The sequence below is a fragment of the Homo sapiens genome, chromosome 16 (genome assembly GCF_000001405.40).
Source record: "Homo sapiens chromosome 16, GRCh38.p14 Primary Assembly".
Taxonomy (NCBI): domain Eukaryota; kingdom Metazoa; phylum Chordata; class Mammalia; order Primates; family Hominidae; genus Homo; species Homo sapiens.
In genome coordinates, this window is record NC_000016.10 from 54,244,203 (window position 1) to 54,271,252 (window position 27,050).

The 27,050-nt window shown below is 44.6% G+C and overlaps 1 long non-coding RNA gene across 1 annotated transcript; it reads right to left on the reverse strand.

The window, feature by feature from the left end:
- Positions 1-1,341: 1,341 nt before the first annotated feature.
- Positions 1,342-26,677, reverse strand: LINC02169 (long intergenic non-protein coding RNA 2169). Its single transcript, NR_126340.1, has 3 exons — positions 26,313-26,677; positions 2,637-2,760; positions 1,342-1,599 (listed from the first exon to the last, which is right to left on the reverse strand). It is a non-coding gene; the product is annotated as a long intergenic non-protein coding RNA 2169 (long non-coding RNA).
- Between the last annotated feature and the right edge of the window lie 373 nt (positions 26,678-27,050).

A 27,050-nucleotide genomic window follows, 5' to 3' on the forward strand; every position in this document is an offset into this window, starting at 1 on the left:
GGGCAGGAGGCAGGGAAACCAATGACAGTGGAACCGTTGCTCCCCTCTAGACCTAAAGCCACAAGGGGAGGGAGCAGTTATCAGAATCCAGAAGAGACAGGCGGATAGAGGGGGCCACCTAGAGCCATCTGCTAAAGCCACAGCCTGTCCTAGGTGCCCCAGAGGGAGGGAGCCCGGGAATAGACACCCGCTGGCTTTCCTCCTTCCTCTCTGCCTCCCTCTACTCTCTTATCAGGGCTCCCTGCTGGCTCTCCTGTAAGCTGTGTGGGGAGATGGGGTGGGAGGAGGCATGGGAACTCTGATTCTTTCCAGGGATCAGCCTCCTGGGCCACGGAGCAGGGGGAGAAGAGGGGAGAGCAGATCTGGGGCAAGGGACACACAGATGTCTCCAGGTCAGGTTCTGCCTAGAGTCCTGTTTGGGAAACCATCTTCCCTGCCTGCCACAACTCTGACTTCTCCTCCATGCCCTAGGTCCCCGGGCTGTCACGCTCCTCTGGGTGGGTGGGAACCAGCCTCTGGGGGCTCCAGCAAGGCCAGCAGCTCACTGACTTGAGGTCCCTGACCCGGGGCTATGTTCCCACCCTCAGCTTTGGCTCTTTCTGGAGATCAACAGGGCTGCATGTCAGGGGCATCTGATGACAATTTATGGTGCTCCCCTGCCCAGAAGGCAGACAGATTTTGTTTGTTTGTTTTTGTTTTGAGACAGAGTCTTGCTCTGTCGCCCAGGCTGGAGTGCAGTGGCATGAGCTCCACTCACTGCAATCTCCATCTCCTGGGTTCACATGATTCTCCTGCGTCAGTCTCCTGAGTAGCTGGGATTGCAGGCATGCACCACCACAACTGGCGAATTTTTGTATTTTTAGTAGAGACAGAGTTTCACCATGTTGTTCAGGCTGGTCTCCAACTCCTGACCTCAGGTGATCCACCCTCCTCAGCCTTCTGAAGTGTTGGGATTACAGGCATGAGCCATGGTGACTGGCTTAGCAGCCAGAATTTGAGGCTTCCTTGACTTTAAGAGCCCACCCTAAAAGTCTGAGGATATACCCTCATGGGAATGAAGGAGTTCCACCATAAAAATAATTGATAACCACAGCCTTCTAGAAAAGGAGTTCATTCGGCTACACTCCTAGTTCTTGAGAAAAAATAGGAACTGAAAGGAAATTATTATTGTTTAGACCTTCTGGCTTCCAGAAAATTTATTTGAAAGCACCTAGGGTGGCATCTGGCACATGGTGGGTGCTGAGAATTCGTCAGGGGGATCTGAGTTCAGGGCCTAAAAGCTAGTTCTCGGAGCAAAACCTTCCTTGACGCCAGCCATCCAGCAGAAAAGAACAGGATCCATTTTGCAGCTAAAAATCATTTATTTGCCTTCAGGCTTAAGCGTCAATAACAATTGTGCCAATAATAACAACTCATTTTAATGCAATAGGTAATTTATTGATGTGTTCCCATTGTGAGCCTCAGGACAACTCTGTGAGGGAGCTAGAGATGAGGAACAAGCCTCGAGAGCCAGAGGCACCAGGGCGCTGGGAGTGCAGCCTGCCCTGCTTGACACGGAAGCTGGTGCTCCAAGCCACCATCCCTGCTTTGCAAGCCTAGCTGGGGAAAAGAAAAATCCAGAATTATAAGATGTCATCCCTCAAGGGGCCAATGGCCTAGTTGAAGAAACAAGCAAACCCTTAGGGAGGAGTTGCAGATACTGTAGGACTCAGATGTCAGTGTAAATGTGTGTGCGAGTGTGTGATAGTATGTGTATGTGAGAGTGTGTGTGCAAGTATGTGTGTGTGAGAGTGTGTGAGTGTATCTGTGTGAGTGTGTGACTGTGTGTGAGAATGTGTGACTGTGAATGTGTGTGTGAGACAGTGTGTAAGTATCCGTGTGTGTGTGAGAGTGTGTGTGCACACGTGTGTGTGTACAAGTGGGTGGGAGCAGGCTGCCCCGCTGGGAAGAAACAACTACATCTGTTCTCTTTTTCTCCCATCCTCTGTGACTTCACTCAAGATTCAAAGTCCCAGGGAAGATTCTGATTGGTTGATCTGGAGTCATGTACACACCCATTGGGCAGGGAAGGGGTGTGGCAACTTGATTGACTGTCCTTGAAAACTACACACAGTGGGGGAGTGTTAGGTAATTCCCCCACACAAATCCAATTACTGTTATGGAAAGAAGATGGAATTTATTAGGGGAGGTTGAAAAATAAGCAAGCATCCACTATGCAAGACATTGTCATGCCTGCAGATGTTTACCCCACCCTCTACAGCCCCACAAGCCAGGCAGAGCAGGTGGCATTGGAGAAGTGGAAGCCGAGAGAGGGAAGTGACTTGCCCAGGTAACACACAGCATTCACCTTACTCCCATGCCACCACCTGCCCCACCTTGCTGTCTCTCAGGCTGCACAGCCTGTGTGTACCTGCTCTGGCCACCCAAGGCCTGCTTGGCAAGGTAGGGGCTGAGGTGAGCCCAAGACAACAAGGGACATGCCTTACCCACCCCAGGCTGGAGGCAGAGTGGGCCATGGGGTCAAGGCAAGAAGAAGGCGTTCTTTTTAATAGCTTCCGAACAGGGACAGGCAGTCACCTCCTCCCACCTGGAGACCATGGATCTCCGCCCAGTGTGGTACCTGCTGTGACTCTTACTTGCTGGAAGAAGAGTCTGGAGATGAGGGCATGGGTGACAGTGGGCTGGGGCTCCAGGTGAGCAGAGCAGGTTAGGAAGGTCTGGTTCCAGAACCCAGGAGAAGAGCAAAGTTGACCTTCCATCCTGCAAAATTATCAGCAGCTGTGAAATGTTGGCTTCCTAAGACAGGGAATGAACTTTCCAAAGTCCCTGCCTATCTAAAGCAAATAGCCCTGAGTCGGAACTTCTTCCTTCTCCTGGCTCCAAGGGTGGGTCAGAGGCCAAGAGAGTTCTGTTCCAATTCTAGTTCTGTCACTGACTAGCCGTAACCTTGCGCTCAACTCCCTGGATCTCATTTGTACAATTGGAAGGTTGAATTAGAAAACAATTACAGTTAAAATAATATTAATATTAATGAGTAACACTGCCCTAAGTGCTTGAGGCGGAGAACAGCTACCTGTCCCCCAAAAAGTTGAGCTTTTTCTGCCATAGTGTAGAGTTCACCCTGGGAGGCAGTAACCCAGCCAGGGTCTCCATTTCCCAGGCCCTTGTGTACAGGCGCAAAACAGTAGCGTTTTCTGGCTTTTGGCTACTATGAACAGTGCTGCTATGGACATTTGTGTACACATTTTTGTTTGCACATCTATTTCCCATTCTTTTGGTTATATATCCAGGAGTGGAATTTCTAGATTGTATGATAATTCTTTTTTGGGGGTTGTTTTAGTTATTTATTTGTAGTAGTCCATTTTCTTTTATTTTTTTTTATTTTACTTTAAGTTCTAGGGTACATGTGCACAAAGTGCAGGTTAGTTACATATGTATACATGTGCCATGTTGGTGTGCTGCACCCATTAACTCGTCATTTACATTAGGTATATCTCCTAACGCTATCCCTCCTCCCTCCCCCCACCCCATGACAGGCCCTGGTGTGTGATGTTCCCCACCCTGTGTCCAAGTGTTTTCATTGTCCAATTCCCACCTATGAGTAAGAACATGTGGTGTTTGGTTTTCTGTCCTTGGGATAGTTTGCTCAGAATGATGGTTTCCAGCTTCATCCATGTCCCTACGAAGGACATGAACTCATCCTTTTTTATGGCTGCATAGTATTCCATGGTGTATATGTGACACATTTTCTTAATGCAGTCTATCATTGATGGACATTTGGGTTGGTTCCAAGTCTTTGCTATTGTGAATAGTGCCACAATAAACATACGTGTGCATGTGTCTTTATAGCAGCATGATTTATAATCCTTTGGGTTTATACCCAGTAATGGGATGGCTGGGTCAAATGGTATTTCTAGTTCTAGATCCTTGAGAAATTGCCACACTGTCTTCCACAATGGTTGAACTAGTTTACAGTCCCACCAACAGTGTAACAGTGTTCCTATTTCTCCACATCCTCTCCAGCACCTGTTGTTTCCTGAGTTTTTAATAATCATATGGTAATTCTATGTTTAACTTACTGAGGAACCACCAAGTCCGATTACCACTTTGTTCCAAGATGCATACACCTTTATCATAAGATATTTAGAAAATGCATACACACATAGCAAAACATTAAACATTTGCAAAAACAGGCAGTGGGCTGAGTTTGGTCCACAGGCCACAGTTTGCCTCTGGTATAGGGAACGCCTACAATATTCTTTCTCCAGATTGCCAAGTAGTAACATTTACTCATCACTCATTTAGGAACATTCACTAATCTGTACCTGCCCTGTTGGGGAATGCGGCAGGGTCCTGGATTTTACTGTTTAAATCTTCCAGCCAATATTTATCGAACCTCTCTTGTGTGCCAAGTGCTGAGTTCTTCTGTTCCGTGAAAAATGGAAGTCCAGGCTGTGCCCACAAAATTACATTCCAGGGGCCGTGGCTGATGCTGGTAAGCACAAGGCTATGGCAGCCAGTAGGAGGGCGTCTAATTCCAAATGCAAATTTTTGGCGGGTGGGAGGGTACAGACACACACAGAGCAAAAGAGGCCGTTTCCTTAACTGATCTCTCAAGTTGGAGTAACCTGTGAAATCTTAATCATCTCTACGTTCAGAGGACCCAGCCCACTGCCATTTTCTCCTTCCTGAGACTAGAAGCAGAGACATTTAAACCCTGGGAGATGACAGTCGTGGAATGGATGGATTCCAAACCACCCAAATCATCACAGGGAGAAAAGTTGCCTGCTGACTAGGAACACCCTCCTTGAATTGTCAGGCGAGGGAGAAAGGTTTATTGTGTTCAGCCACTGAAACTGTCAGGACTATTTGTTACAGCATCTAGCATTACTCTAACTAATAAAGTGCTTTTTGCACATTGTCTCACTGAAGTTTCTCAAAAATCATATGAAAGGGCGATTTGAATCATCCCAGGTTTACCTACAAGGAAGCTGAGTCTCAGAGAGGTTAAGTGGCTTGTCCAAGGTTGCACAGCTAGTAAATTCAAGAGCCTGAACTCTAACCTGGAGAAGTCTATCCTCAAAGCCCATGCTTTGGGCGACTCTCTCTGTTAACAAAGGGCTCCACTGGCTCTGATTCTGATCGATATATCACCCAGCCCTGCTGTCCAGTTCATGCAGTGGAATCCAGGAAGAAGAAGGAGGCAGCCCTGTCCTGGGAATTGTATTAATGGGATGAGACAGGATTTCCCCAGGGCAGGGGCCTGAAAGCCAGAGGCCAGGCAGAAAGGGGCAGTCATCCTGGCTTAAAGAGCCAGCTTTTCCCGGGGTTTGGAGACTGCTGTCTGCAGACCTGGGCAGAACCACACACCCCAGACCCCAAACTCTTCCTTTACAGGCTGTGGGAGAGAGATGGCAGGCAAGCTCCAAGCAGGAGGACTCCCAAGGTACCTTCTCAGTTCCTGCTCCCTTGAAAATGTTTTTCTTTGCAGGTCGGAGAGGTACCTCTCTCTTTGTAGCCAACATGTCCAAGGCTGACAGGCTAAAACTGCTTGCTTGCTTTTAAGTGTCAGGAGATGTAAATAGTTTTAGTCTTCAGTGGTTTCTGATTGAATATCCTTTTGAAGTAATGATAGCTATAATTTAAAGCAACAGTTACCATATTTTCCTTGCTGGCTGGCCTTCTTTGAAGCACTAAGTATAAATCTGCTTAAAATCTTAAAATAGCTGTAGCTCTGTCTCAATATTCTACCAGGAGCCAGAGAGATTCGGCCCCTAATTGCCATCATCTGTAACTAATATCAGCAGCACAGCGGGCTTGTGACAAGGTGGCTGGGAGAATTGCTCTGACATAGACAGGAAGGTGGAGGCAGAGACATGGTCTCCCTTTGGGGATCTTGGCTTCGGTTGGAGTTCGGAAGAAACCCGTTCTGAAATTAGGGCCAAATGGGCTCTGGCTGTTGGAGATTTTTCAGGATGATTTTTTCCACCGCCAGCCCCCTGCCCTTCTGGGAGCCTGGGATGGAAATGACGGGGCCTCCTTGCAAAATCAAACTCAGAAAGCTCAAGGATTGGTGATGACCTGGTTCTAGCCAATAGGATTCCCAGGGACCATATTTATGTCTCGGATAAAGCATTTTGAAAAAGAATGAGGGCCGTGGAGATTCCAGTGCGGATGATCACCAACAGGAAGTAATGCACAACCATTTCTACTACACATCGGCAAATGCATTTGAAATCCAGTTTAAATTTTGACTTGGTTGCCTTTTCATTCATTTAAAAGTATTAATTCACTTGACAAATACTTACTGCATCTCTGTGTGCCAGGCATTGCACAAAACAGTCAGCAATCCCAGCATTCCCAGGGTTTATGATAAGCATGATATAGATGAGATGGAGGATGATAAATGCCAGGGAGTAAAATCATACTGGGAAGGAGCAGGAAGTAGTGAGGTTTGGTTTTAATCAGGTTTGTCGTTGAGAAGGTGGCATTAAAGTGTGACATTAAATGGCATTTCTATAATCCCACTTTTGTACAAACTTTTAATTATATAGTAAATGTATATATTTAGGCATTCTAAACAATTCTAGTAGGAAACATTCAGAACAGTTGACAATGTTTATCTTTGAGTGCCATGACTATTTGTGATTTAATGTTTTCTTATGTGTGTATGCATTTTCTAGATGTCTTATGATAAAGGTGTATGCATCTCAGAACAAAGTGATAATAGGACTTGGTGGTTCCTCAGTAAGTTAAACATAGAATTAACCATATGATCCAGCAATTCCACTCCAAAGAGAATTGGAAATAGATGTGCAAACAAAAACGTGTACATAAATGTCCATAGCAGCGCTGTTCATATAGCCAAAAGCTAGAAACAATACAAATGTCCGCCAATGAATGAATCAATGACTTGTGGTATATTCATACAATGAAGTATTATTTAGCCATAAAAAGGAATGGAGTCCTGATTGTGCTACAACACAGAAGAATCTTGAAAATATTAGGCTAAGTGAAAGAAAGTAGACACAAAAGGTTGCATACTGTGTGATTTTGTTTCTACAAAATGTCCGGAATAGGCAAGTCCATAGAGACAAAAAGCAGATCAACAGTTGCCTAGGCTGAGGGTGGGAGTTAGGGGAGGGGCGAATGGGAATGGGGTATGGGATTTCCTTTTGGGGTGATGAAAATATTCTGGGACTTAGGTAGTGGTGATGGCTGTATGACATCGTGAATGTGAATGTAGATGTCACTGAATGATAGACTTGAATGAGAGATAATGGTTATAATGGCACATTTTCTGTCATATATATTTTACTACAATAAAGAAGTGGTCATTGGAGCAGTTACTGGAAAGACTTGGTGACTGTAGATGGCAGGTAACGGTTGCCCGGGAGGTCTTTGCCAGGTAACCAAGTGTCAGGTGCAGGGAGACTTGGCAGAAGCCCCGTTAGAAACATTCATGACTCCATTGAACCAGTATTTACCAACCACCTCCTTGATGCCATGCAGGGAGGCCACAGCCGTGGGCACCCATAGGCCTGCTCTGCTGTGATTCCAGTGGGGAGCTCCCCTGGGGACCAAGAAGTCACCCCATGTGGAGGCGTGGAGTTGGAGTGAAGCTATGTGGGGCTGAGCTGTGGACTCGGCAGCTTCCACCCTAGCCCTGACATGCTTCTCTCGGCTGAGAACACACATCTTAGAAGAGAGTCCAGACAGACACGCTGAGAGGCCACACAAGTGCATGATGGGAGCCAGCGGGAAGAATGCTGGGTGGCTGTGGAGCCCATTCAGGCGTGGGTCTCCAACCTCCGGGCCACGCGATCGTTGCTTCTTAGGAACTGGGCCACACAGCAGGAGTGAGCAGTGGGTGAGACAGCAAAGCTTCATCTGTATTTACAGCTGCTTCTGATCACTCACATTACTGCCTGAGCTCTGCCTCCTGTCAGATCAGCAGGCATTCAATTCTCATACGAACTTGGACCCTATTGTGAACTATGCATGCGAGGGATCTAGGTTTCCTGCTCCTTATGAGAATCTAATGCCCGATGATCTGTCACTGTCTCCCATCACACCCAGATGGGACTGTCTAGTTGCAGGAAAACAAGCTCAGGGCTCCTGCTGATTCTACATTATGGTGAGTTGTGTAATTATTTCATTACATATTACAATGTAATCATAATAGAAATAAAGTACACAATAAATGTAATGCACTTGAATCTTCCTGAAACCATCCCCCCACCCCAGTCTCTGAAAAAATTATCTTCCACAAAACTGGTCCCTGGTGTCAAAAAGGGTGGGGACCACTGCATTAAGGGATTAATGTTTTCCCCAGGTGATTTGCAGAGAGGGCAATCTGGACATCAGTAATTGAGAAAGAGCCTGTGTCCCTAAAACCAGGGCACTCCAGTCTTCCTTAGAAGACGTTTCCAGGCTTTTTAGCATGGTGGCAGTCAAGATGTGTTTTTACATGCAGAGGGAAGGGAGAAGACAGGCCATTTCTTCTCCCCCAGTGCATGTGGCCAAGCCCTCTTTTGATATCTGCCTCCTTACTGTCACCTCCCCAAGAACCTGGACACCAGTCCCTGTGACTCTGCCTCCTCTGTGCACCCTGGGACTTCGCCTGTGCTCCTGGCCCACGAGAGCTTTCTGGGTCCTGCTTATTTCATGCTGAGTCAGGCCAAGATACAACAGAGTGAGGCCCCAGGCAAGCTGAGAGCCCTTGGCCCATTCCCCTGTTGTCAGGACTCCTAGAAGGCCATGGTGCAGAATTCATTTATGCAGGGGCAAAACACTCAGCTCCAATGAGAAAGGGCAAAGCCTTGCTCCCATCTGGGTTCCACAGATGTGGGCAGGTGCTGGACCCAGTGGGGGCTTGAAGCCCGCTCTGGCCCCAAGAGAAGCCCGCTCTGGTCCCTGTCCTGGGACGTAGCTGGATGAAGCTGTCCCACCACACTAGGGGTGCTCCCCTGTTGGCCTGTCCCCAGCCAGTGCCTCTCCACACTACCTTCTGTGTACGTGCTCTGTACCCCAGCCAAAGCCAGCTCTACACTGTCCTGGAACAGCCCCTGCCCTTTCCTAGCCCCTGGCCCTTGTACTTCCTGTTCCCTCCTCCTAGCATGCCCTCCCCCAAAGTGCCACCTGTTGAAATCCTAGCTGCTTCTCGTCTCATCTCAAATGCCACCTCCCTGTGCGCTCTTCCTCCCTCCCAGTGTGTTCTTGCTCCTGTGCCCCATCCAGCGCACCTCTTACGGATGCCCCAGGACTCTGCCAAGTACAGACTTCATTTGTGCTATTCTTGGGCCATAAACGAATCCCACAGAGCCCCGTGGGTTAGAGCATAGCTTTAAAGTTGGATGGCCTGGGGTTTAAGTCTGGACCTCAACTTAGGCAAATCAAATCACTTTACCTCTCTGCACCCCAGTTTTCCCATCTGTAAAATGCTAATGATGATAATCACGATACCAGCCTACAACACAGGCTTCTTCTGAGGATTAAATGAGATGATATATGCAGAGTGGAGCCACGACTAGGGTGAGGCAAGCGAGGTGCCTGCAGTGCAAAATGTAAGGATGCCCTCCATGAAAGCACCACCTGAAGGCGCTTGGCCACCTGAGGGCACATGAGGATGCCCTCCCCCAAAAGCATCCTGGGGATGTGAGAGTGCAGAGTGCCTTCTGAAATTTTGCATCTCAGGTGCCTCACTTGATGCATTTGGGCAGCAATTTCATGACAGTGTTGATGACTGGAGATGGAGAATGGTGCCATATTCCACCGCAGTGGTGGGTCTGGCACGGTGGAGGCAGCAGGTATGAGCAGGACTATTAGAAGGCCATGGTGCAGAATGCTTTTATGCAGGGACCAAGCACTTAGCTTCTGATGCGGTATTTCCAACCTCAAATCCTCCTGCCACCGCTCACGATATATGTGACCTTGGGCAAGTCACGTAGCCTCTCTGTGCCTCAGTTTCTTGATCTTCAAAATGGGAATAATATTAGAATTAGAATTAAACAAATGCCTGGACTGGAGCCCATGAGTGACGGAAGCACATATGTGCATTGAGAAATCTTTCTATTTGCAGGGAGTAAGATGAATTATAGAGAAATAAAGGCAGGAAGGTGCCTGGGGGCAAGAGGCCAGATTAGTCACAGGGAGAAGGAACAGGGTGGGAAGTGTTGAAAGACATAACAGAGATAAGATCTAATGAACTTGGCAACTGATTAGATGGAGAGGCCAAGGCAGCGCAGGGATGGGGTGGGGTGGGGGCCGGGAGGGGTGAGTAGGGGATTAATAAGTGGGGGAGGGAAGAACCTAGGAAAAAAGTGGTGATGTTATCAGAGAGCCGCATTCTGTAATGAAATTGGGCTCAGCATATTGAGTTTGAGGGACCGTGGGAATTGAGGCTGAAATCCTGGAAATAGGAGGGTGTGGCTCTAGTTAAAGGTAATTGGTATAAGCTTGCCTGTCACCTTTAACCTAGGCTTCTGATTTGTACATCCTGAGGTCTTGGAACTGGTTATTAAAATGCAATCTCATATTTTGCACAGCTGCCTTATCCTAAAGATGAGGTAAGGCCGGGCGCGGTGGCTCACGCCTGTAATCCTAGCACTCTGGGAGGCCGAGGCGGACGGATCACGAGGTCAGGAGATCGAGACCATACTGGCTAACACGGTGAAACCCCGTCTCTACTAAAAATACAAAAAAAATTAGCCAGGCGTGGTGGGGGGTGCCTGTAGTCCTAACTACTCGGGAGGCTGAGGCAGGAGAATGGCTTGAACCCGGGAGGCGGAGTTTGCAGTGAGCCAAGATTGTACCACTTCACTCCAGCCTGGGCGACAGAGTGAGACTCCATCTCAAAAAAAAAATTGTTTATTGTAAAGATGGAGTCTTGCTATGTTGCCCAGGCTGGGCTTGAACTCCTGGGCTCAAGGGATCCTCCCGCCTTAGCCTCCAAAAATGCTGGGATTATTGGTGTGAGGCATGTGTTGGCCTCAATGAATCAAATCTGAATGAGCAGCCTCTGAAATGACATGCTGACTGCCCACCTGTCCTGTAGATGGATTCAAGGTTGTGGGCAGATGTGAGTGTGGCACCGGGTTGATATCGAGCTCAATTCTGGAAATGGTGCAGAGGTTCTGCCTAGGGCGGAGGGGTGAGTGTGTGTGTGTGTGTGTGTGTGTGTGTGTCTGTGTGTAATACTTTTTTCAAAATGCAAAAATCATCTTAATTAAATTTAACAGCCCTCCCATCCCTTATTTAGAATGGAATGTGGGGCCCAGGCTCTGCTTTCTTCCAACATGGGGAAGCAGGGCAATGAAAATAAACTTTGCTTTTACTGTGGCTGAGAAGCAAAGGGGGAAATCTGCATCTCAACCAGTGGATGCTGTGCGCCAGCAGCTGTCTTTGGACATGATCGAGTCTTTTGTAGGATGAAGGCTTCTGGGGACTTGTGGAAGACCCACACCAGAGGACACCTTCCCATGCAAGCTGCACTTTTGAGCTTTTGAAAGACCTTCTGCCAAAGGACCTGACTTTTTTTTTTTTTTTTCTGAGACAGGGTCTCACTCTATTGCCTAAGGTGGACAGTGCAATGCAGTGGTATAATCATAGCTCACTGTAGCCTTGAACTCCTGGCCTCAAGCAGTCCTCCTGCCATGGCATCTCAAAGAGCTAGGATTACAGGTATGAACCACAGCCTCTGGCCCACACCCAACTTTTTAAGACTATAGATTTGGGGTCAGACAGCACTATGTTTGGATCCTAAATCTGCTATTTGCTGACTCTGTGACCTTGGGCAAGCCTCATAACCTCTCTGAATCTCATCTACAGCAAAATGGGGATGATAATAGCTGCTTCTCACACCCATGGAATGGTTGTAAGGGTGAGATGAGAGAATGCATATAAAGTATAGGAACATAGTAGGTGTTCAATTAATGGCAGGTTTTTTTTTTTTTGGTCTTATCCAAGAATTTAATGAGTAAGAGCTAAGATGCTTACTCAGACACATTTGTTTTGTCAAACTGACCACTTTCTGATACTTCAAACATCCAGAGAAGAGCTTTTATGGGCATCTCAGCACACCCCAAGGGGAAAGGGAGGGCAATTTCCAGAGACTGAGACGTGTCCAGGGCTGCACAGCCAGTGGTCACTGGGACAACACTAAATTATAGGTTGACATCACTGGAGTCCTGAGTGTAAGGAAAGTGATTCCTTAATGAACAGCCCTTTGGGGACAAAACTCCTTTAGACCCAGCATGTTAGGGCATGAAAAATGGAAACTTTCCATATCTTGATGTGCGGTGGCCTCTGTGGGCCCCTGGACCTGTCATGCTGTCTGGTTCTACCTAACAAACGGTTAGGAGGATCGACCCTAAGAAGCGTGGAAAATCCCTTACCTGTGGTTTTCTACCCTTTCTCCCTGGGGGGCTGCAGCTCGGCATCTCCCAGAAAGGTGTTTGCCCTCCTCCTTTCTCTAATCCTCCGTCCAAGTGGGAGAAGGGTCTGGTAACCAGACATGAACACTTAGGGAAGGACTGACTGAGAACTTTCATACTAAACGATATGATAGTAACTATTTTTTTAAAAATTGAGGCAGGGTCTTGCTCTGTTGCTCAGGCTGGAGTACAGTGGCATAATCATGGCTCACTGCAGCCTCAACCTCCCGGCTCAAGCAATCCTCTCACCTCAGCCTCCTGAGCAGCTGGGATTACAGACGTGCACCACCACACCTGGCTAGTTATTTTTATTTATAGAGATGAGGTCTTGCTGTATTGCCCAGGCTGGGCTTGAACTACGGGGCTCAAACGATCCTTCAGTCTCAGCCTCCCAAAGTGCTGGGATTATAGGAGTGAGCCACCACACCCAGCCATGGCAGTAACTATTAATGATTAATAAACGCCTTGCTGAATCTTTAATCTATCCTTTAATTCTCCCCACAGCTCCATGCTAGAAAGAAGACTGTGGATGAGAAAGCTGAGGCCCAAGAGGAACAAAGTGACTTTATGGTTGTCACACATAAAACTGGGGTGTGAACTCAGCTCCATCACACTCCAAAACCCTAGCACTTTTCACTGAGCCACTGTGAGAGTCCCATTTTCCTTGTTCTGGAGCAGAAATCCAACAGCTCAGTCCCACTCCTCCTACCCAACTGAACCACATCCCTCTGCAGCCTCCACTCCCAAACTCACACATAAGCAGTTTGCCTTTACTGGCACTCCTGACATCATTCTTTTTGTATGTAATGCCATTTTGTAAGACAGTTTCTATCCCCTCTGGGATTAACCTGGGCACTTTTTAAAGTCTCTTGATACATTTGCTACTCTAGATGACATTGAGTACATTGTTACTTTCATCTCTGGTGAAAGACAGTGGCATCTGGCTTTCGGGTTTATCTCCTTTGCTTGTTGAAGGATCATTGCTATGGTTTGGCTGTGTCCTCACCCAAATCTCATCTTGAATTGTAGCTTCCATAATTCTCATGTGTCATGGGAGGGACCCAGTGGGCGGTAATTGAATCATGGGGGTGGGTCTTTCCCATGCCGTTCTCGTGATAGCGAATAAGTCTCACGAGATCTGATGCTTTTATAAAGAGGAGTTTCCCTGTACGAGGTCACGTCTCTTGTCTGCCTCCACATGAGACATGCCTTTCACCTTCCACCATGATTGTAAGTCCTCCCCAGCCACGTGGAACATTGAGTCCATTAAACCTCTTTCTTTTGTAAACTGCCCAGTCTCAGATATGTATTTAGCAGCAGTATGAAAACGGACTAATACAATCATTGTATTTTCCCTTCTCTTGAAAACACCTGTCCCTCCTTGTGGCTTGTATAACAGCGTGGCCCTAGTGAATGCATTCTCCTGGACATTTCCCGTGGAGCCGGCGGCCATCACTCCAACTGGTCCCCAAGTGGGGAGGGCCCTATACTGGTTCAGAACTATGAGAATGCACCTCAAATTATCCCAAAGTACTCCGGGGAGAGAGGTGACTTTTTAGGTCACCCTCATAAACAAAAGGTATACTGGTTGTATAGTAGTGATGGAAGGAGTGAAAATTTAATTGTAGTAACGTGGTAGGGATTGCTAGTTGCCCAACCAACACACATTTTCCCCCTCCTCCTCAACTAAAGAACCCTAATCATGGTTCACACCTGTAATTCCAGCACTTTGGGAGGCCGAGATGGGTGGATCACAAGGTCAAAAGATCGAGACCATCCTGGTCAACATGAAGAAACTCCATCTCTACGAAAAATACGAAAATTAGCTGTGCATGGTGGCATGCGCCTGTAATCCCAGCTACTTGGGAGGCTGAGGCAGGACAATTGCTTGAACCCAGGAGGCAGAGGTTGCAGTGAGCCAAGATCGCACCACTGCACTCCAGCCTGGTGACAGCAAGACTTCGTCTCAAAAAACAAAAACAAAACCAAAAACCAAAAACCAAAAAAACACAAAAAAACCCTAATCACTGAAGGTAGTGGTGTGACCAGCTACAAGACTATTTTCCCCAATCTCCCTGTAGCTATGTGACTGAATTCTAGAAGATAAGACGTAAGTGAAAGTTGTTGGGAGACACTTTCAGAATGTCTCCATAAAAGAGTAACAGCTGAAGAAAGCCCTTTTTGATCTTACATCCTTTCCCTTCCTGGAACACGAGTGTGATGGTGGGAGTATCAGCAGCCATTTAGATCATGAGGTAATTAAGTATGGAAATAACATACTAAGAATGGAAGAATAGAATGACAGAAGGAGCCAGGCTCCCTGATGAGTCACAGTGACAACCTGGACTTCCTGCTTCTGGATCTTTTTTTGTGTGGCTAGCAGTAACCTATTATATATTTCTGTTATTTTGAGTTTTCTATTACATAAAGTTGGATCTAATCCTTACTGATACGTAACATTTAAAAGTAGCTAACCTTCCCATAATGTGAAAATATGTATGTGCAAGGTATTAATTGCTACATTGTTTGTAATTGCAAAACACTGGAGACAATCCAAACACCCACACACATGAGAGTAGTGAAGTGATTATAGTGTATTCACCCAATGGAGTTCTATGCAGCTGTAAAAAAGAATAAGAATGATATCTATGGACTTACCTGGGATGACTCCAGGGCATACTGTTAAGGTAGGGTGCTACCTTTTGTGTAAGAAGGGAGGGGAAATAAGAAAATATACACATATTTCCTCATTTGTGCAAGAAAAAAACCCAGTAGAACTAGAAGGATATGACAGAAATAATGAGATTGGTTAGTTACAGGGGTAGGTGGTAACGAGGCTGAAAGCAGAGAAGTAATGATAGGGAAAGGACACTACTCTGATTATATTTTTTCATATTTTCTGACTCTTGGAACCCTGTTAAGATTTCATGTATTCAAAAAGAAAGAAAGAGAGAGAGAAAGAGAGAAAGGAAGGAAGCAGGAAGGAAGGTATGAAGGAAGGAAGGGAAGGAAAAAAGGAAGGGAAAAGACAACAAGGAGGAACAAAAAAAATCTTAAAATGAGATGTAAGTAGAAACAAATGAAGTCAACTGTATTTCAAATGAAACACGCAACCACATTGAAAGGAAGGTGGAGGTGGGAGGGGGATTGAACCAGTGACTGGAACGCAGTGCTTGGAATAAGGACTAAAGAACCCTGAGTTTTGTTTGTTTGTTTTTGTTTTTGTTTTTGTTTTGAGACAGGTTCTCCCTCTGTCACCCAGGCTGGAAGGCAGTGGCGCAGTCACAGCTCACTGCAGCCTCAACCTCCTGGGCTTGAGACATCTTCCCACCTCAGCTTCCCGAGTACCTGGGACTACAGGCACATGCCACCACGCCCAGCTAATTTTTAAATTTTTTTGTAGCGATGGAATCTCGCCATGTTGCCCTGGCAGGTCTCAAACTCCTGGGACTAATGAGTCTTAAATGCTAGATGGGAGGTTTCTTTTTTGCAAACGAATAAATGATGAATTCTGAAAATACTGACTGTATTCTAGGATTAAGCAAAAAGTAAATATATTGTGCATAGTGGGAGCCAGGTTTCTCACTGATGGGAAGAGAGTTACCAATATGGGAAGCAGAAAGATCTAATGAGCTCTGCAGTGTTGAATAGGAACTGTGAGTACCAGTGGTTTTTAATGTGTATGTGTGCATATATATATATATAGAGAGAGAGAGAGAGAGGGAGAGAGGGAGAAAGAGAGAATGTATGTATACCTGTGTATGCATATATTTGTATATATGCATATGTATCTATTTGTAATGCTTGTGTATGTTTATGTACTCATATATATCTGTATCTGTCTATCAATTGAGAGGGAAAGATGATAAAATGTTTACATTTAGGGCATCTGGGTGAAAGGCTTATAGAAATTTTTTTTTTGTTATTAAACTTTAAGTTCTGGGTTACATATGCAGAATGTGCAGGCTTGTTACATAGGTATACACGTGCCATGGTGGTTTGCTGCACCCCTCAACCCGTCTCCTACATTAGGTATTTTTCCAAATGTTATCCCTCCCCTAGCCCCCCACCCCCCGACAGGCCCTGGTGTGTGATATTCCCCACCCTGTGTCCATGTGTTCTCATTGTTCAACTCCCACTTATAAGTGAGAACAAGCAGTATTTGGTTTTCTGATCTTGTGATAGTTTGCTGAGAATGATGGTTTCCAGCTTCATCCATGTCCCTGCAAAGGACATGAACTCATCCTTTTTTATGGATGCATAGTATTCCTTGGTGTATATATACCACATTTTCTTAATCCAGTCTATCATTGATGGACATTTGGGTTGGTTCCAAGTCTTTGCTATTGTGAATAGTGACACAATAAACATACGTGTGCATGTGTCTTTATCATAGAATGATTTATAATCCTTTGGGTATACACCCAGTAATGGTATTGCTGAGTCAAATGGTATTTCTAGTTCTAGATCTTTGAGGAATTGCCACACTGTCTTCCACAATGGTTGAACTAATTTACACTCCAACAGTGTAAAAGTGTTCCTATTTTTCCACAACCTCTGCAGCATCTGTTGTTTCCTGACAAAATTTTTAATGATCGCCATTCTAACTGGCATAAGATGGTATCTCATTGTGGCTTTGATTTGCATTTCTCTAATGAACAGTCATGATGATGAGCCTTTTTTCGTATTTCTGTTGGCTGCATAAATGTCTTCTTTTGAGAAATGTCTGTTCATATCCTTTGCCCATTTTTTGATGGGGTTTTTGTTTTTTTCTTGTAAATTTGTTTAAGTTCTTTGTAGATTCTGGATATTAGCCCTTTGTCAGATGGATAGATTGCAAAAATTTTCTGCCATTCTGTAGGTTTCCTGTTCCCTCTAATGATAATTTCTTTTGCTGTGCAGAAGCTCTTTAGTTTAATTGGATCCCATTTGTCAACTTTGGCTTTTGTTGCCATTGCTTTTGGTGTTTTAGACATGAAGTCTTTGCCCATGTCTATGTCCTGAATGGAGGGATTGCCTAGGTTTTCTTCTAGGATTTTTACGGTCCTAGGTCTTACATTTTAAGTCTTTGATCCATCTTGAGTTGACTTTTGTATAAGGTATAAGGAAAGGGTCCAGTTTCAGTCTTCTGCATATCCCTAGCCAGTTTTCCCAACACCATTTATTAAATAGGGAATCTTTTCCTCATTGCTTGTGTGTGTCAGGTTTGTCAAAGATCAGATGGTTGTAGACGTGTGGTGTTATTTCTGAGGCCTCCCTTCTGTTCCATTGGTCTATATATCTGTTTTGGTACCAGTACCATGCTGTTTTGATTACTGTAGCCTTGTAGTACAGACTGAAGTCAGGTAGCGTGATGCCTCCAGCTTTGGTCTTGTCCAGGATTGTCTTGGCAATGCAGGCTCTTTTTTGGTTCCATATGAACTTTAAAGTAGTTTTTTCCAATTCCGTGAAGAAAGTCAGTGGTAGTTTGACGGGGATAGTATTGAATCTATAAATTACTTCGGGCAGTATGGCCATTTTCACAATATTGATTTTTCCTATTCATGAGCATGGAACGTTTTTCCATTTGTTTGTGTCCTCTCTTATTTCCTTGAGCAGTGGTTTGTAGTTCTCTCTGAAGAGGTCCTTCACATCCCTTGTAAGTCGGATTCCTAGGTATTTTATTCTCTTTGAAGCAATTGTGAATGGGAGTTCACTAATGATTTGGCTCCCTGTTTGTCTGTTATTGGTGTATAGGAATGCTTGTGATGTTTGCACATTGATTTTTTATCCTGAGACTTTGCTGAAGTTGCTTATCAGCTTAAGGAGATTTTGGGGTGAGACGATGGGGTTTTCTAAATATACAATCATGTCATCTGCAAACAGAGGCTATTTGATTTCCTCTCTTTCTATTCAGATACCCTTTATTGCTTTCTCTTGCCTGATTGCCCTGGCCAGAACTTCCAATACTATGTTGAATAGGAGTGGTGAGAGAGGGTATCCTTGTCTTGTGCCAGTTTTCAAAGGGAATGCTTCCAGTTTTTGCCCATTCAGTATGATATTGGCTGTGGGTTTGTCATAAATAGCTCTTATTATTTTGAGATACATTCCACTGATACCGAGTTTATTGAGAATTTTTGGCATGAAGGGGTGTTGGATTTTATTGAAGGCCTTTGCTGCATCTATTGAGATAATCATGTGGTTTTTGTCATTGGTTCTGTTTATGTGATGGATTATGTTTATTGATTTGCATATGTTGAACCAGCCTTGCATCCCAGGGATGAAGCCAACTTGATTGTTGTGGATAAGCTTTTTGATGTGCTGCTGGATTCGGTTTGCTAGTATTTTATCGAGGATTTTGGTATTGATGTTCATGAGGGATATTGGCCTGAAATTTTCTTTTTTTGTTGTGTCTCTGCCAAGTTTTGGTATCAGGGTGATGCTGGCCTCATAAAATGAATTAGCAAGGATTCCGTTTTTCTATTGTTTGGAATAGTTTCAGAAGGAATGGTACTAGCTCCTCTTTGTACCTCTGATAGAATTCAGCTGTGAACCTGTCTGGTCCTGGACTTCCTTTGGTTGGTAGGCTATTAATTACTGCCTCAATTTCAGAACTTGTTATTGGTTTATTCAGGGATTCAACTTCTTCCTGGCTTAGACTTGGGAGGGTGTATGTGTTCAGGAATGTATCCATTTCTTCTATATTTTCTAGTTTATTTGCATAGAGGTGTTTATAGTATTCTCTGATGGTAGTTTGTTTTTCTGTGGGGTCAGTGGTGATATCCCCTATATCATTTTTTATTGCATCTATTTGATTCTTCTCTCTTTTTTTCTTTATTAGTCTGGTTAGCAGCCTATCTATTTTGTTTATTTTTTTCAAAAAACCAGCTCCTGGATTCATTAATTTTTTGAAGGGTTTTTGTGTCTCTATGTCCTTCAGTTCTGCTCTGATCTTAGTTATTTCATGTGTTCTGCTAGCTTTTGAATTTGTTTGCGTTGCTTCTTTAGTTCTTTTAATTTTGATGTTAGGCTGTCAATTTTATATCTTTCCTGCTTTCTTTTGTGGGCATTTAGTGCTATAAATTTCCCTCTAAACACTGCTTTAAATGTGTCCCAGAGATTCTGGTACATTGTGTCTTTGTTCTCATTGCTTTCAAAGAACATCTTTATTTCTGCCTTCATTTCGTTATTTACCCAGTAGTCATTCAGAAGCAGGTTGTTCAGTTTCTATGTAGTTGTAAGGTTTTGAGTGAGTTTCTTAATCCTGAGTTCTAGTTTGATTGCACTGTGGCCTGAGAGACTGTAATGATTTCTATTCTTTTGCATTTGCTGAGGAGTGTTTTACTTCAAATTATGTGGTCAATTTTAGAATAAGTGCAATTAGGTGCTGAGAAGAATGTATATTCTCTTGATTTGGGGTGGAGAGTTCTGTAGATGTCTATTAGGTCCACTTGGTCCAGCGGTGGGTTCAAGTCCTGAATATCCTTGCTAATTTTCTATCTTGTTTATCTGTGTAATACTGACAGTGGGGTGTTAAAGTCTCCCACCATTATTGTGTGGGAGTCTAAGTCTCTTTGTAGATCTCTAAGGACTTGCTTTATGAATCTGGGTGCTCCTGTATTGGGTGCATATATATTTAGGATAGATAGCTCTTCTTGCTGCATTGATCCCTTTACCATTATGTAATGTCCCTCTTTGTCTCTTTTGATCTTTGTTCATTTAAAGTCTGTTTTATCAGAGATTAGGATTGCAACTCCTGCCTTTTTTTGCTTTCCATTTGCCTGGTAAATATTCTTCCATCCTTTTATTTTGAGCCTATATGTGTCTTTGCACATGAGATGAGTCTCCTGAACGCAGCACACTGATGGCTCTTGACTCTTTATCCAATTTGCCAGTCTGTGTCTTTTAATTGGGGCATCCTAGAAATTATTTTTACAATTCTTGCAACTTTTCTGTAGATCTACAATTATGTCAAAATAAAAATAAATAAAAGAAAGAAACCAAAGCGGTGGCCCATTAGAGTTGGTGCTGAGACTTGAGCTAGTCCTTCTGGCCCCAGTCAATGTCCTGCTGCTGCTTCTTTTTTTTTTTTTTTTTTTTTAAGATGGGGTCTTGCTCTGTTGCCCAGGCTGGAGTGCAGAGGTGTAATCACAGCTCACTGCAGCCTCAAACTCCTGGGCTCAAGTGATCCTCCTGACTCAGCCTTTTGAGTAGCTGGGACTACTGGTACATGCCACCATGCCTGGATAATTTTTTAAATTTTATGTTTGTAGAGATGGGATCTCGCTATGCTGACCAGGCTGGTTTCAAACTCCCAGCTTCAAGTGATCCTCCTGCTTCAGCCTCCCCAAGTGCTGGGATTACAGGTGTGAGCCACCGCACCCAGCTGATGTTCTCCTTCTTGTCCCACAGACTTCTCCTCCTGGCTCAGTGTGGATCTACCAGGAAACTTCAGGTTAAATCTACAGTGGGCAAATGTGTTTTCCAAACCTGTTCTTATTAATCTATGGGTAGGATCCCTGAATGGAGTGCAGGGAGAAGGAAAAGAGAAGGAGGCGGCGCCCTTCACAGGAGGACCTTTTGGTTGCTGCTGGAACATGAGGTGAGGGGTTTCTGTCTGTGTTCTGGAGTAGACTAAGGTAAGGAGACCTGGACCAGTCTTTGAGGGGCATCTCTGTAGTCTTATCTTCCTCACTCACTCCTTTTCTGTCTTCCCTAAACATGTGCAGAGAGGTTTTTTTTCAGTGCGATATATCCCTCCTCCAATTTCTTTTCTCTCTGTATCTTGGATGAGGATATTTCTCTTATATGCTTCTCCTATTCAGAAATGTTGCCTCTCAAGAATTTCAACAGTAATTCAATGCTACGGCTGAAGAAAACAAGGAACAAGCTTCTCCCTTCCTCTGCCGTTCCTCCCCTCTTGGCGTGTAAGCCTGTGTTCAGAGCTCTTGCTTTTGAAGCATAAGTGATTACAACTTGGCAATGGTGTCAGGCAGAACTGGGTTCACAACTTCATCTGCCCCCTTGGACCTCAGTTCTCCACCTGCAACGTGGTCGTGATGATGGCATTGACCTCATTGAGTGGTTTTGAGGATGAAATGAGATAAGCGTGTAGGTATTTATCATCGCGCTCAACAAGTGTCAGATGTCACTAGTGGCAGCACAGTCAAGTGTGGTGACAGTGTGCAGCAGCACAAAAGATGAGTCATTGAGCGGGCCACATTGTTTTCCTGAACCCAAACTCATCTGCCCTGGAATTGCGTTTAACCAGTGAGTGCATTTGTTACTTCAGAGGCCCCTCTGAGAAAGATGGATTTATTCTGCTTGGCAAATAGCCTTCCCCCATGTCCCCACACAGTGTATAACTCAGGGCTCCCTGTCATGGCCTGGGTGTGAGCCACAAGGCCTCCATCTTTCCCAGACATGGAACTGAATCACTGCATTGTAATTTCCCAGAGAGTATCTTCTTCCACTCCCTCTCATTGGTTGGTGTTAGGCAGAAGCAGTTTGCTGGTGTGGCAGGGAGATTGTCTGCTTTCTGAGGGGGAAACAGCACCAGGATTTTATAAGCTTCGTGCAGGTGTCTCTTCAAATATTACCGTTGGGAGTCCTATTTCTGTAATGATAGGGATACAGGTACAACTCCTAGAAACTGCCCAAATAAGAAAGTTCTAGAACATAATTATTTGAGGGTACAAAAGCTTCTTATTCTTTTGGGGAGGTAAAATTATATATATTTTCAGCAGGACATCCTATGCCAAAACTATGCAGCAAGAATTCACTCTCCGTGGCCACCCTTGTGAAAAGCATTCACAGCCATTCGTATTGATCAGTTTCTCTTAATTTCTTCTTCTCCTGTTTGTGTCTGCTTGGGGTGTGTGTGTGCACGCACTCATGCACACTCATGTCTGCATTTTTAAACAGCTTGTTTGTGTATTGGCCAATGTGGCACATCTAGTGACTTTCCCAGGATAGAATTAACATATTATGCAATTCACCCATTTAAAGTGTACAAGTTGTGCAACCATCAGCACAGTCAATATTAGAACATTTTCATCACTCTAAAAAGAAACTCTGTACCCATTAGCAGTCGCCCTCATTTCCTCCCAGTCCCTGTGACCCTAGGCAACCACTAATCTTTCTGTCTCTGTGGATTTGCCTATTCTGGACATTTCACATAAACAGCATCATATAACATGTGATCTTTTGCAACTGGCTTCTTTCATTTAGCATGGTTTCAGAGTTCACTCATGCTGGAGTATGGATTGGTGCTTCATTCCTTTTTATGGTTAAATAGCATTCCACTGGATGGCTATACCAACATTGCTTATCTATTCATCAGTTGATAAACATATGGGTTGTTTCCACTTTTGGCTATTATGAATAATGCTGCTATAAATATTTATGTACAAGTTTTTTTATGTGGACATATTTTTATTCATTTGGATATATATGTAGAAGTGGAATTTCTGGGTCATAAGGAAACTATGCTTAATTTTTTTAAATAACTGTCAAACTGCTTTTCAGAGGCATTATATTATTTTGCATTCCCATCAACATTGTATGAGGGTGACAATTTCTCCATATTCTTGCCAACGCTTGTTATTTTTCATTTTAAAAATTATAGCCATCCTAGCGGGTGCGAAGTAGCATCTTATTGTGGTTTTGATTTGCATTTCTCTGATGGCTAATGTTGTTGGACATCTTTTTACATGTTTCCTGGCCATTTGTATGTTATCTTTGGAGAAATGTCTATTGAGATCGTTTGCCATTTTCACATTTGTTTGTCTTTTATTTCTGAGCTGTAGTAGTTCTTTCTGCATTCAAGATATGATTCCCTTATCAGATATATAACTTGCCAATATTTCCCTTCATTTTGTTGGTTATCTTTCTGCTTTCTTGGTGCTAGCATTTGCACACAAGTTTTGTATTTTGATCTATTTCTTCTCAGGTTTCTTGTGTTTTTGGTGTCTAAGAAGGCTTTCCTTGGCCCAAAGATTCTAAAGATTTTATAGTTTTAGCTCTTATCATTAAGTCTATGGTACATTCTGAGTTAATTTTTGCATATGGTGTGAAGGGATGCAACTTCATTGTTTCATATGTGGTTATTCAGTTGGCTCTGTTTTTATTTTTAAATTATTTTTATTTTATTTTTTTTACTTTTGAGACAGAGTCTCGCTCTGTCACCCAGGCTGAAGTGTAGTGGCAAGATCTCAGCTCACTGCAACCTCCGTCTCCCAGGCTCAAGTGATTATCCTGCCTCAGCCTCCCTAGTAGCTGGGATTACATGTGAGTGCTACCACACCTGGCTAATTTTTGTATTTTTAGTAAGACAGGGTTTCACCATGTTGGCCTGGCTGGTCTCAAACTCCTGACCTCAAGTGATCCGCTTGCCTCGGCCTCCCAAAGTATTGGGATTACAGGCGTAAGCCACCGTGTCTGGCCTCTCTGTTTTTAAAATAAAGAAATAGTTCCATGTCAGTTGGTAAATAGCACTGCCCTGAGATCCACAAGTGTCCCCTCTTCTGCCCTGGCTCTTCCCTGGGACCTCCTGGAGATTCCCATGACTCATAAGCCAACCTGTCAATGCCAGGCACAGGAGAATGTCTCAGAACCTTGCCCCCTTGGTTCTGATTGCTGGTTGGTTGCTGGTTCTGATGCAGCTGAGGCCCCAGTCACTAAATATTTCCCATGTCACATCTATGCATTGGTGTGTGTTAGGACACATTCTCAGGGTTGGAAATAGTCATAGCAATTCAGAGATACCCCAAAACTTGTCATTAATAATCATTTATTCTATATTGTACGTTGATGGGGCATTGTTCGAGCAAAGACGAATGCCAGCTTTTCTGTAACTATCACACCAGTGAGGACTGGCACAAGAGTGTCACGTGACCTGAAATGAGCTTAGCAGTTGCACAAAAGCCTCTGGGTCAAAGATCTCAGCAAATATTCCGCTGTAGTTTCTCCACAGATGAGCTTGTAGCCCACCTTTTGTTCCCATCCCCTCTGAGGATCAGGGAGGTTAGTTTTGCCTAACACGGACTGGGCAGAGGAGAGCTGGGTGGGTTGCTCCTCTGCTTCTGTTTGGGGAAGACGGCCTGATTCTTCCATTGCAAAGTGACCATTCACAATTTTGCAGGATGGAAAGGGCTTCTCTCTTTCCAGAAAGGTTAGAGAGTCAAGCCAACTTCCTTAGAAGCTTCTAGTTTGCAGATCCATCTTCCTTGGTGCCTGGGGCCTCTTATTCCCCAGCCGCAGCTCACTGGGCCACTGAGAAGGACTCTATCCGTCCCTCAGGACCAGCCCTACTTCCTCTAGCCTCTCTGTCCCTCCCCCACTGTCCCTGCTCAGTCCCCTCTGCTGCATTGTCTCGGTTCCACATTTCTGGGTAATTATATTTTTGGCAGTGGCCCTTGTGCGTGCTGTGGAGCAAGCAGTTGAGTCTGTGGTCTTTTCCCAAGTACTGTGTCCAGCAGGGCCATGCCATCCTGTTCTTCTGCTGTATTCCAGGACACAAAAGGTCAGGGGCACTGCCAGAAGAACAGAGCCTGGTGTGGAGACCTCTTGGCCTGATCGTTATGTAGGCAAAAAAGGAGCATCTTAGGAGAATCAGTGAGAGTATATAACAGGGCACCCCAGTCCCAGCCTTGCTGGCTGACCCCATAAATAATCTCAATCGTGCCTGGTTTTGTTTGTTTGTTTCTGAGACAAGTCTTGCTCTGTCGCCTAGACTGGAGTGCAGCGGCGAGATCTCGGCTCACTGCAACCTCCGCCTCCCGTGTTCAATCTATTCTCCTGCCTCAGCCTCCCGAGTAGCTGGGACTGCAGGCATGCACCACTACGCCTGGCTAATTTTTTTGTATTTTAGTAGAGATGGGGTTTCACTATGTTACCCAGGCTGGTCTCCAATCCTTGAGCTCAGGTAATCCACCTGCCTTGGCCTCCCAAAAGGCTAGACAATTGTGACTTAATATTTGGGTAGGAGTCAGGAGGAGCTGGATCTATATTTAGGGCACTCAGTTGTGGCAAGGAGAGGATATAGGACAATTAAAAATAGAGGGACTGCTGTCTTCAAATCATACTCTCATACTGACCTCATATAGGAAAACACAATGCCAAGTCTGTCACATGGAAAAGCTGAACAAAGGACAACTCTTACCATCTTTCATAATTGCTAAATTTTATAATTGTATATAAACAGTTACAATATTTGATAATTATTAGAATATTTTTACAAAATTATATTTTTTATGAGTGTAGTTGATGATTTATTCTTATTTTATGAAATATTTGCAAAGTGATTTTCGTAAAGACCTAAAAGACATCTTTAGGAAACACCTAACTTTATTGCTGAATTCTGAAGCAGCAATGCATTTGGTAAATATCTATTGAGTACTTATTAATACTGGGTCCTGGGATGTACTCAGCACCACGATAGTCTCTCAGCCCCGAGATGCATGCCCCCGCAGCTCCGGTTCAAGTGTGAATGAAGGACAGGGATGGAGGGTCAATGAAGAGAAGGGGGAATGTCAAGCTGGCTCTGGGCAAAGTATGAATCCCCCAGGAGTGTCCCATATCAATGCCATCCTTCTGCCCTTTGCCACACTCCATGCCATTGGGGTCTGGATTTGCCAACCATATGTGCCCAAGCTTCTTGAATCAGGGTACGGAGAGCTCTATGGTACCCAGCAGCATCCCAGCAGCTACCAAGGCCACAGGGTGAATATAGGCCCTGAATTAACCATTTTATTTGAAGATCTTTACAGGATAAACTACCTTTATAACAAGACACACAGGAAAATATCATGGAGTGTGATGCAAACTCCTATATGTTTAAGATAAAAAGTGAGACCAAAAAGAACCTTTCTGCCAGTGAGGGGCTACTTTGTGTCTTACCTCAGATTCTTCAGGCCAGAAGTTCACCCACCCCTTTTCCTAGGGAAAGCTTGAGAAGTTGTGGCATCTTCCATGCCCATTTCCAATACAGGATCAGATGGAGACTGCTAGGCCTGGAGGGCTTGAGAAGGGCTGAGAGGTAGTCCAACCTTGATTTCAGCCTGTGCTCAGTCCCAGCCCTGCAGACTGGCCTTTGGAAAAATGACTGATTGCTTTCCCTTCTTAACTCCTCCCAAACCTCTTCACAGATCTTCTTCCTCTAAATCTCCTGTACTCTCCTCCTTCAGTGATTGTGTCTGCCTGATCTACTCTCCCCCACCCCTTTTTATGATAGAATCACCCCTAGTTTCTCCAAGGAACTGCCACTTCCTGCCACTCCCTCTGGCCATTGTGGTTGGCCCAGTAATGAACACATGACCAAAGCTGAGCCAATCAGAAGTTTTCCTTGGGATTTTACGACTGAAACTAGGCAAGAGAAACCATTTCTTTCCCTTTGGATCAGCAACTCTCAGGCCACAGCCACTGGGTTAATGACGACTGTATACCTGCCACCTGAAGGAGTCTAAGAGAAGATCAGCACTGGGACAGAAGCCGAAATGAAAAAAGAAGGTACCAGTGCTTTCAAATCCCTGGATTGCTTCCTGCTTTACATTCAGTACCTAGCTCATAAGGTCTTTATAAGGATTAGGTGAGTTAAAACATGTGCTGAGCATGTAATATGTGCTCAGTAAATGTCAG